Here is a 12,225-nt window from a genome sequence, read left to right on the forward strand (position 1 = left end):
AGGTGTGATCCACTGTGCCCGGCCCTGACTTGATTTTTTCAATACTGCATCAAGGACATCAAAGCCATTGGATTAGTTCTATAAAACATTTTTAAATAACCAAATTTTCACTGCCTTATTTTATAATTGGAGGATGTGCCAGAAAAGTTTGAGTTCAGCCTGGGATAGAGTAAGGATTATGGCTAGAAAATGGGAATAGTTACTAGGAAACTGGCTTAAAAAAAAAAATTAAAAAGGGGTTCCTGGTAAGTTGAATTTTTAGGTAATATTTATTTTCTTAACGCATAGCCATTTTCAAACTACTGTCATTCCCATGTGAGTAAGAACAACCACAGTTCCAGTAAAATCTATGGGGAAAGGGACTTAGAAGTCAGAGACTTGAATTCAGATTCCAATTTTTTGTTTACTGGCATTATGAACTTGAGTATTCAAATTTTTCTTTGTAGAACATTTTAAAATAGGCACTCTGAAATTTGAGTTAATTCTTATATATGGTTTTGTCTGCAAGATACCAGTTCTCAGGGACTGAATTTTTTTTTCCAGTTTACTGTAAACACACCACCTACTCCAGAAGACCTGATGTTAAGTCAATATGTTTACCGACCCAAGATACAGATTTATAGAGAAGATTGTGAGGCTCGTCGCCAAAAGATTGAAGAGTATGAAAGCTTTAATTTTTATGTGTGTTTTTTTGAGGGGAGGGATCAGTTAATAGTTTGTGTGGTAAGGTTTTGATTAGAATAATGCTGGCATGGGGTAAAATTGATGGCATTAATTGGCAGTGTGATGTGGGAGAAAGAGCTTTGGCCTCGTAGTCAGATTGAAGCTCAGTCTTGGCTTCAACACTAGCTGTGTAACCTTGGGTAAGTCATTTAACCTTCATTTCCAAATCCTTAAAGTGAGGATAATAAAACCTACTCAGCCAATAGATATGAACAATAGAAATGGCGTATATAAATTGTTTTCATACCATTCTTAGGAAAAGGTAGGTCCTTAATAAGAATAAACAGTAATTTTTAGATTATGATATCATAAGTTGATTGCTAGAGAACACCTTCAAAAGAAAATATCCTTTAGAGATTTACGCAAGTTGAGTAACCTTAATCTGGAAATCGGAAATCTGAAATGCTCCAAAATCCAAAATGTTTTAGCCACCAACATGATGCAAGTGGAAAATTCCACACATAAATACGTAAGTACTTTACACAAACTTTGTTTCATGCACAAAATTGTTTAAAATATTGTATAAAATTACCCTCAAACTATGTGTACAAGGTATATATGAAACATAAATGAATTTCACGTTTAGGCTTGGGTTTCACCCGCAAGGTATCTCTTATATCCAAATAGTCCAAAATCCAAAACACTTCTGGTCCCAAGCATTTCAGATAAGGGATACTCAATCTATATATAGTGCCTGAAATCAGATTGCCTTTGAGTTTATAATTTTACCACATTTACGCTTGTTTACATATATAAAAGAACATGGTTTTACGTAGAAGATAGCTCATTGCTATGGTATACGTAAATACTGCAGACTGATTTACAAATTAGATACATCTAGATTCCCTTAGGTAAATCAGACTTTAAAACTCAAAGTAATGTTTATGTCATACTTATCTGGGACTATCCAACTAAATTTGAACCAATCTAACAGAAAAGAAATAAAATAGTCTTTAAGAATTATCTGGGTTTTAGAAGTAGAAGGAAAAGAATATTAAAAATTTTTCAAAAGAATTATGTAGTTTTGGCTGGGCGCAGTGGCTCACGCCTGTAATCCCAGCACTTTGGGAGGCTGAGGCAGGTGGATCACGAGGTCAGGAGATCGAGACCATCCTGGCTAACACAGTGAAACCCCGTCGCTACTAAAAATACGAAAAATTAGCCGGGCGCGGTAGCAGGCACTTGTAGTCCCAGCTACTCGGGAGGCTGAGGCGGGAGAATGGCGCGAACCCAGGAGGTGGAGCTTGCAGTGAGCTGAGATCGCACCACTGCACTCCAGCAGCTTGGGCCAAAGAGCGAGACTCTGTCTCAAAAAAAAAAAAAAGAATTACGTAGTTTTAAAATCAGAAATTTAAGATATTTCAGATTTTCCTGATTCTGTTCATTTAACAAATATTTATTGAGCACCTACATCTGCCAGGTACTATACTATGCACTGGGGTTCATCGCTGAACAAAACTGGCAAATTTTGTATCTTCATGTTGTTGGAAAGAGTTGGCTGTGTCAGGATTTCCCTGAGAATGTTTGTTTGTTTGTTTCTTTGTTTATTTTAATGAGACAGAGTCTCGCTCTGTTGCCCAGGCTGGAGTGCAGTAGCGCCATCTCGGCTCACTGCAAGCGCTGCATCCTGGGTTCAAGCGATTCTCTTGCCTCAGCCTCCTGGGTAGCTGGGATTACAGGTGCCCACCAACATGCCAGGCTAATTTTTGTATTTTTAGTAGAGATGGGGTTTCACCATGTTGGCCAGGCTGGTCCTGAACTCCTGACCTCAAGTGATCTACCCACCTCGGCCTCCCAAAGTGCTGGGATTACAGGCGTGAACCACCACACCAGCTGAGAATGTTTATTTTGAATGAAACGGGATCTTACACTCAATGAGCGGTAGGTTTAGTTGTGCTTTACTGTTTGATTTTGCATCTGTATGCCTGCATATATCCTCTACAAGAGATATTCTATCTCTGTTAGAAATTTATTTTCTCCATTTATTAACAAAAGACTAATATATATTGAGACTATCATAACTTTGCTGCTTTTATAGATGCTATTCTAAAAATGTGAAATATGCCTTTGAACTGAATTGGAAACTTTTATTTTATTTTTTATTTTTATTTTTGAGACAGAGCCTCACTCTGTCACCCAGGCGCGATCTCGGCTTACTGAGAACTCTGCCTCCTGGGTTGACGCCATTCTCCTGCCTCAACCTCTACTACTACAGGCACCCGCCACCATGCCTGGCTAATTTTTTCTATTTTTAATAGAGACGAGGTTTCACCGTATTAGCCAGGATGGTCTCGATCTCCTGACCCCCGTGATCCACCTGCCTTAGCCTCCCAAAGTCCTGGGATTACAGGCGTGAACCACCGCGCCTGGCCGGGAACTTTTATTAAAATAATACATAAAAAAATTAGCTGGGCGTGGTGGCACGCGCCTGTAGTCCTAGCTACTCGGGAGGCTAAGGCAAGAGAATTGCTTGAACCCAGAAGGTGGAGATTGCAGTGAGCCAAGATTGCGCCACTGCACTCCAGCCTGGCAGCCTGGCAACAGGGTGAGACTCCGTCTCAAAAAAATAAAATAATAATAGCTACAACTTTATAGCAGCGATCATTGACAGACCTTAGGATTCTTTATAAGCGAAATGTTTCACATTGGAACAAGTTGGTACGTTGAGATGAGAATTCTGTTAGTGATAGAAGTTTTTTTGATGTATGACATTCTTGAACTACTATTCTTCAAGTGAATAATCAGGCTTTTCTTGAATGAATTCCCCTCTTATTATGTAGAAAAAAACTAGGAAGAGTTAAATTAAACATGATTGTAGACCTGAGCTGGTTCATTCAAGCTGGCTTCTGAACCCTACGCTTGAAGAGGTGGCCTGCCCCTCCACACTTGTGGGTATTTCTAGTCGGATGGGACGAGAGACTGAGAAAAGAAATAAGACACAGAGACAAAGTATAGAGAAACAACAGTGGGCCCAGGGGACCGGCTCTCAGCATACCAAGGACCTGCACTGGCACCGGTCTCTGAGTTCCCTCAGTTTTTATTGATTATTATCTTCATTATTTCAGCAAGAAGGAATGTAGTAGGAGAGCAGGGTGATAATAAGGACAAAAACATGTAAGCAATAGAATCTACGTCATAGTTAAGTTTAAGAGAAGGTATGGTGACTGGATGTACACCTAAGCCAGATTTATGTTTCTCTCCACTCAAACATCTCAGTGGAGTAAAGAATAACAAGGCAGCATTGCTGCAAACATGTCTCGCCTCCCACCATAGGGCGGTTTTTCTCCTATCTCAGAATCGAACAAATGTACAATCGAGTTTTATACAAAGACATTCAGTTCCCATGGGCAGGCAGGAGACAGTGGCCTTCCTCTATCTCAACTGCAAGAGGCTTTCGTCTTTTACTAATCCACCTCAGCACAGACCATTTACGGGTGTCGGGCTGGGGGACAGTCAGGTCTTTCTCATCCCACGAGGCCATATTTCAGACTATCACATGGGGAGAAACCTTGGACAATACCCCGCTTTCAAGGGCAGAGGTCCCTGCGGCTTTCCGCAGTGCATTGTGCCCCTGGTTTATTGAGACTAGAGAATAGCGATGACTTTTACCAAGTATACTGCTTGTAAACATTTTGTCAACAAGGCACGTCCTGCACAGCCCTAGATCCCTTAAACTTTGATTTCATACAACACATGTTTTTGTGAGCTTCAGGTTGGGTCAAAGTGGCTGGGGCAAAGTGGTTGGGGCAAAGCTACAAATTAACAACATCTCAGCAAAACAGTTGTTCAAAGTACAGGTCTTTTTCCAAATGGAGTCTCTTACGTCTTTCCTTTCTACATAGACACAGTAACAGTCTGATCTCTTTCTTTTCCCTACAGTGCTAATTAACTTTTCCGTATTTTAGATTAAAGCTTTCTGCATCGAACCAAGATAAGCTGTTGGTTGATATAAATAAGAACCTGTGGGAAAAAATGAGACACTGCTCTGACAAAGAGGTACTTTTGTCTCATTTTCTGAATGAGAATCAGTGAAGACATTCTGAACGATGTTTATTGTGAAATGAGTAACTGTTACTTGGTCATAGTGATGAGTTATTTAACTTATTTTTTAAGTGTAATGTGGTACCAAGGTCTTATTTAATTACACACAATTGTTAATATATAATCTTTTCAAACCTGAGATGATCAATTTAATATATGAAATATAGTTGAAGTTTATTTAGAGTTCCCTCCTTGCTATTTGCCTTTCACTTAGATTTAGACGAAGAAAAGATTTACTTTAATTGATTAAATAGCAAGCAACCCATTTTATATGTGCCCTAATATATTAAAAAGTTTCATTAACTAAGAGCCTGTCATTTTCTAATTTATAATATGAATAAGTGAATTAAAGGCAGGAATCAAAACTGAAATCTTTTTTCTGGTCTTAGACAATTACATGGAATTAAATTTGCAAATGACAAATATCCTGCCTTAGGATAGGCAAAGCCTAGCCTTCCTAGACCATTTACCTCTTCTGACTCGTTTGTTTTAGTACAGTGTTCTCTATAACTTTCCCTTCCAGCTGAAGGCCTTTGGAATTTATCTTAACAAAATAAAGTCATGTTTTACCAAGATGACTAAAGTCTTCACTCACCAAGGAAAAGTGGCTCTGTATGGCAAGCTGGTGCAGTCAGCTCAGGTAATTTGAGACAGTTAATATCATAGAAAGAGAGAGATATTAAAATTACTTTCTAATGGTTATAGAATATGAAGAATCTTCCTTAGAAGACATGTGAATAAGACTTGGGCAAAAACTTAACAATTAAGAGGTAAGGTTCAATTTGTCAAAAGTGGCAAATCCTGACATCTTGAGTAATACTGGAATATAATTACTAATGTGGGCCTATGTCTCATCTCAAATACTATTATCCATCATACATACTGAAATAAAATACATAGGATTCTGGTCTCCCATTGCTAAGGACTATACCATAGTATTATCTTCTTCATAGTCCATACTAAGCTGTATATGTATGCACATGTGTTTAAAGTAGCATTTCCCAAAATGATTAGCTTTTTTAAAAGGCTCTGCATAAAAAAACTTTCCATTGGCAAGTAAGTATGGGAAATGTTGCAAGCAATATGCCCTTTCAGAGAAACATAATTTTTTAAAGTCTAAGCATAAATGCTGTAATTCTTTTTGACCACTGTTTCCTATGTTTAGTTTATCATAGAAATGTTTTTAAGTAATAAATATTAATATATTGTATTCCATGGAACACCTATAGAAATGCTAAAATAAAGTACCAGAATTAGTTTTATGTCAATATGCTTTTTAAATTATTTCATTTTCTTTTAATAAAATATTTTATTAAATTTATAAAATAAACATTTTATTTTCCAGAGTTCTTTTGGCTAAAACTTATTTTAATAAAATTTACTTTTATTTTTTAAGTTCCAACCTAAAGCTTTGACCTTCATTTTAAGATTTGCCTGTTTGTAGGCTGGGTGCGGTGGCTCACGCCTGTAATCCCAGCACTTTGGGAGGCCAAGGCGGGCGGATCACGAGGTCGGGAGATCGAGACCATCCTGGCTAACACGGTGAAACCCCATCTCTACTAAAAATACAAAAAATTAGCCAGGCATGGTGGCAGGCACCTGTAGTCCCAGCTAATCAGGAGGCTGAGGCAGGAGAATGGCATGAACCCGGGAGGCGGAGCTTGCAATGAGCCCAGATGGCGCCACTGCACTCCAGCCTGGGTAACAGAATGAGACTCCGCCTCAAAAAAAAAAAAAAAAAAAAAAGATTTGCCTGTTTGTGATCATGATAGAGCGATTATGTGAGCAGTTTGAACCATTTATAATATTTTCTTTAGAGGTTTAACTTGACAGTCTATAATCTTTTGTATTTAGAATGAGAGGGAGAAACTTCAAATAAAGATAGATGAGATGGATAAAATACTTAAGAAGATCGATAACTGCCTCACTGAGATGGAAACAGGTAAAGTATTTTAAATACTTTTCCAAAAGAAAATTTAATTTTATCTAAATGCTCTCCTACAGTAGAGAATGTTGGTACCACGATATTGAAGACTTGTATTAGCAACTTGAGATATTAAATTAGAGTAAATTGGCTCACGCCTGTAATCCCAGCACTTTGGGAGGCCAAGCCGGGCGGATCACCTGAGGTCAGGAGTTTGAGACCAGCCTGGCCAACATGGTGAAACCCCATCTCTACTAAAAATTTTAAAATTAGCTGGGCGTGGTGACGGGCGCCTGTACTCCAGCTACTCGGGAGGCTGAGGCAGGAGAATAGTTTGAACCCAGGATGTGCAGGTTGCAGTGAGCCAAGATTGCGCCACTGCACTCCAGCCTGGGTGGCAGAGCGAGACTCCATCTCAAAAAAAATAATAATAAAATAAATAAATAAATAAATTAGAGCAAATTAAAGTTCCTTTACTATAGTCATCCATAATACAATCAAGAGCTGCTCAAGATAACCCAGACTGTAATTTTGTGTTTTTTAATAGATGAATTTATCTCAGTTTGAAAACCGTCTATCCTTTCAGTTTGGTCTTTCATAATCCCAACTTTTTAGAGTTACTCTCCTGAAACTCCTTTCTCAAAGATCACATAATTCTGCATAGTCATCAAATTTTGTTCTTCTCAGTCCTTAGCCATTTTGACCTCTTTCAGCATTTGACACTGATGACTGTTCTTTTCTTCCTGAAATGTTCATCTCCCTTAATCTCTGTGATAATGCACTATCTTGACCCAGTTGTTTTCTCCTGGCTGCTCAATCCAGCTTCTCTGTTGGCCTCTCTTTCTCTAACTGATCCCTTGTGGGGATTTAGATTTTATCATCTGTTCTTTTCTATATTCTCTCCCCTAGTGCTTTCGTGTGCCTTAATAATTATGTGACTGATTCCCAAATTTAAATTCCTCAAGCATTTTTTGAGCATATACTGCATGCCAGATACTGTGCTTAGTATCAGAAAATAAATAAAAATATTTAAGACACAGATTTTGCCCTAAAGGTAGCTTATAATCATTTCAGGTGAGGGCATCTTTAGCCTCTCTTTCTTGAATTCTAGACTCAATTTCTAGCTTCCTTCTGAACCTGTATGCAAAAAATATCCTTAAACACCTTAAACTGTGAATACAGCCTGGGCAACAGAGTGAGGCACTATCTCTACAAAAAACAAGAGATTAGCTCAGCGTGATGGCACATACCTGTAGTCCTAGCTACTTGGGAGGCTGAGGCAGGAAGATCTCTTGAGCCCAGGAGGTCAAGACTACAGTGAGGCAAGATCACACCACTGCACTCCAGCCTGTGCAACAGAGCAAACTAAATAAATAAATTTAAATATATTCTCCGAGCTCAAAAATAAAATTCAAAAACTTGTTCTCTCTTATGATGTTTCTCATCTTTATGTATAGCAGTCACAATTCTTATACATTGTAAAAGCTCAATACTTTCATTGTCTTTGAGGCTCTCTTAACAAGTCCTGTCATCGGCAGCTTCAGCATCTCATGTGTTTATTTTCCTTTCCTATTAAGGCTCACCTTAATTCTGAACTGTGCTATTTCAGTCTTCTAACTAATCTTTATACATTCTTACCATTATTCCACCTTCTTCCATTCCAACCTGCACATTGCTGCCAGATTAATAATTATGAAAGACAGTTTTCATTAATGTTACTCCTCTGAAAAACTTCTGTCTTTCCATTTATTATAAAGTCCAAACTTAACTTTCTTTTTTTTTTTTTTTTTTGAGATGGTATTTCACTGTCGTTACCCAGGCTGGAGTCAATGGCACAATCTCTGCTCACTGCAACCTCCGCCTCCCAGATTCAAGCGATTTTCCTGCCTGAGCTTCCCGAGTAGCTGGGATTACAGGCATGCACCACCAGGCCCTGCTAATTTTTTTTTTTTTGTATTTTTAGTAGAGACGGGGTTTCTCCATGTTGGTCAGGCTGATCTCGAACTCCCGACCTCAGGTGATCCGCCCGCCTCGGCCTCCCAAAGTGCTGGGATTACGGGTGTGAGCCACTGCGCCTGGCCCAAACTTAACTTTCTCTGTGGTTGGCTTAAAGAAAAAAAAAAAGTCCAAACTTCTGAGCTTGACATTTCATATCTTCTACAGTTGTTTTCAGATTTACATGATTTGTTACTACTCCCATACACCTCTTAAATTCTAACCAAACATTGCTATTTTTATGCAGTTCTGCCACTTTTTTGAGACAGAATCTCTCTCTGTCACCCAGGCTGGAGTGCAGTGGCATGATCTCTGCTCACTGCAACCTCTGCCTCCTGGATTCAAGCAATTCTTGTGCCTCAGCCTCCCAAGTAGCTGGGATTACAGGCATGCACCACCACCCCCAGCTAATTTTTGTATTTTTAGTAGAGATGGTGTTTCACCATCTTGGCCAGGCTGGTCTCAACTCCTGGCCTCAAGTGATCTGCCCATCTCAGCCTCCCAAAGTGCTAGGATTACAGGCATCAGCCACTACGCCTGCCTTTTTCTTTTATTTAAAAAAAAAAAAAGAGAGGCAGAGTCTCACTCTGTTGCCCAGGCTGGGGTGCAGTGGCATGATCATAGCTCACTGCAGCTTCAAACTCCTGGGCTCAAGGAATCCTCCTTCCTCAGCCTCCTGAGTAGTTGGGACTATAGGCACATGCCACTAGCCTGATCATTTCTACTTTGGTCTTTGCTACTACATACTACGTTCTCTTTCTGTTTTTCACCAAAGAAAGTAGTCTCTTTTCCTTGAGCTCTCATGGCTCTTTTGTTAGTACTTCTTATATTACCCATCACATCTACTTGTATTATAGTTATTTTGTATAGTTTATCTTCCTGATTAAATTATAAGCTCTGTGGAGGCAGGAATCAGCTCTTCTTTTTCTCCATCTCCTTCAGAGTCCCTAGGACTATATTTCATACAGAGTAAGTGCCTAGTACATGTTTTTTGCACTGAATTGACCATGAGTACATGAATTCCATAGTCTAAAGTTCACCCCTTTGTTGACTACCTTACTTTCTCTTTCACAGAAAAAAAAAAAAAAATAGAAACCATCAGACTAGAACTTCTGAACTTCCTACTACCAAAGAAACAATCTGTCGTTTAATAAATTGTTTTTGATTGAATTATTCTTTTTTTCCTTACTTTGTTTTCTTTTTTTACTATTTTTCACTGAATTATTCTAACAAATACTGTCTACTTTAGAAACTAAGAATTTGGAGGATGAAGAGAAAAACAATCCTGTGGAAGAATGGGATTCTGAAATGAGAGCTGCAGAAAAAGGTAATTGAATTAGTTAAGGAGATAAATGGGTGTGGGGGAAGCCCTTCTGTTCTGAGTTTGTTTATATACTTTGGTGAGATTAAGTCAGAATTTTCAATAAAACAGATTTTTGTGGCAACATTCTAATATGTTTGTTCTGTTTTTTTTTTTTTTCTGTTTCCAAAGAATTGGAACAGCTGAAAACTGAAGAAGAGGAGCTTCAAAGGTCAGCCTTCAATCCAAGTGTTAGAAAATATAATGCTAAATCACAGAAGGCTAGATGACTTCCTGCCTCCAGAGACTGACAGGATTTGGGGACATGAGTCTTGATTGAGGCTGACTCAGGGCTTCTCCACTTTGAATGGAAACCTAGAGTCCATCTTAGTCAACAGTAGTTTTGAAGCACTTATTGTTTACAGGGCATTTATCCACAACAGTGTTTCTCAAGCTTGAATACTACCAGTATCCTTTTTGTTTAATAAATGTAAATATAAACAAGTATAAAATGAAGTATATATTTCTTAGGCCTATGAATCTTATTCAACTGTAAGTGTAAAAGAAAGTAAATAGAAATAATGACAAAGCCACTAAAATTCTAGTTGACAACATTAATTTGACAGGTGATAGTGTTTGGCTGAAATTAAATTGATGCTAGCAAAATGATTAACAAAGATATGTTCTGTTTAGCTCTAACAACTAAACGAAACCAAATACAGGCAAAAAAAAAAAAACTGTGACATGTCTCAGTTTTAAAGTATATCTTATGATCTACATTATGCTTATATTTTTATATTTTTGCTTTTTATCAAAAATAAAAATGTAGTATTTAAAAGTTATCTTAACATGTGAATCCCAAGGATATCTTCATGGATCCTAATTTGAAAAACAATGATTTATGCCTTTCCCAGGTAGACCCACTTCTAGATTAATGCTTATATAAAAAAAAAAAAAAAAACTAAACTAAGAATGCAGAAATGGATGCCATACACCTAACATTATTACCTCAATGGGGAGTCATGTAGCATGTGACTTCTTATCATAAACCTTTTATATTGATAGAGTGAATTCTCTAACAAAAACCTTATCTCTCTGAATACCTGCTTTTATTTGCAGAAATCTCTTAGAACTGGAGGTACAAAAAGAGCAGACCCTTGCTCAAATAGACTTTATGCAAAAACAAAGAAATAGAACTGAAGAGCTACTGGATCAGTTGAGGTAAGGAAATGCAGGCATCATTTGTTTGTGTTTTATTCTGTACCTTGTGGTTGTTTAAACCGATTGGAGCAATTGATGTATTTTTAATGTGTTGCTGTTTTTAACCTATACAGTGCTGTTTCAAAAAGAGTCAGTGTACTCAACAGTAAGCTGGAAATAGAGTAGAAGAACTATGGAATTATAATTTTTCCATATTTTATACTTTTCATTGCGTAGACTTGGTGTTTCTCTGATATACAACTCAAGATTGGGTTCTTAGTTATTTCAAAAGCTTAAGTTTGTACATCCACAATATATGAATTGAAATATTTTCTCCCAGTCCAGTGGAAAAACATTAGCAGCTGCTGTTGGTACTGTTTGGGTGGTATCAGAAGTTCTCTTTTATGTTAATTTTAAAAACGCTTTTTAAAAATCTTGTTTATCTCTCTACAGCTTGTCTGAGTGGGATGTCGTTGAGTGGAGTGATGATCAAGCTGTATTCACCTTTGTTTATGACACGATACAACTCACCATCACCTTTGAAGAGTCAGTTGGTAAGGAGCCAAAGTGAGATAATTCTTTTACAGAAAAATGAATGGCTACACTCACTAAAGATTCAAATCTTTATTTTACTATACTGATAACTATTGGCATGATGAGAGCACTGCTGAAAGTCTTAGAACAGTCACTTTATTGATAGCAGAATTTTATTTTATTTTGTAAAGAATAAAATAAAAATGGAATTAGTGAACGTTGCCCTTTGTTGAATTACATTAAATAAAAATTTTGCTCTGCAAATAATGGATAAACATGCTACTCATGTCTATTTACTATGAGTTTCTTTCTTTTCATCTCCATCTTTCGTGATAGAGAATAGAGAATTTACCCTAATGGCTGGAGATTCTTTTTTTTTTTTTTTTTCTTTTTTTACTTAAGAGTGAGGCCCTGCAGCTCACGCCTGTACTCCCAACACTTTGGGAGGCTGAGGTGGGCGGATCATCTGAGGTCAGGAGTTCGAAACCGGCCTGGCCCACATGGTGAG

General features: G+C 37.8%; 1 protein-coding gene across 2 annotated transcripts in view; it reads left to right on the plus strand.

The window, feature by feature from the left end:
- The window catches only part of KNL1 (kinetochore scaffold 1), a 70,094-nt gene that overhangs the window by 46,120 nt on the left and 11,749 nt on the right, over window positions 1–12,225 (plus strand). For both annotated transcript variants that reach the window (NM_170589.5, NM_144508.5), the window contains 8 exons: window positions 544–659; window positions 4,629–4,719; window positions 5,288–5,404; window positions 6,619–6,706; window positions 9,933–10,010; window positions 10,176–10,215; window positions 11,103–11,204; window positions 11,637–11,737. In NM_170589.5, coding sequence (NP_733468.3) covers window positions 544–659; window positions 4,629–4,719; window positions 5,288–5,404; window positions 6,619–6,706; window positions 9,933–10,010; window positions 10,176–10,215; window positions 11,103–11,204; window positions 11,637–11,737 — 733 coding nt within the window. The remainder of the gene's footprint in view (window positions 1–543; window positions 660–4,628; window positions 4,720–5,287; window positions 5,405–6,618; window positions 6,707–9,932; window positions 10,011–10,175; window positions 10,216–11,102; window positions 11,205–11,636; window positions 11,738–12,225) is intronic.

This window comes from Homo sapiens, chromosome 15 (assembly GCF_000001405.40).
Source record: "Homo sapiens chromosome 15, GRCh38.p14 Primary Assembly".
Classification (NCBI taxonomy): Eukaryota; Metazoa; Chordata; class Mammalia; order Primates; family Hominidae; genus Homo; species Homo sapiens.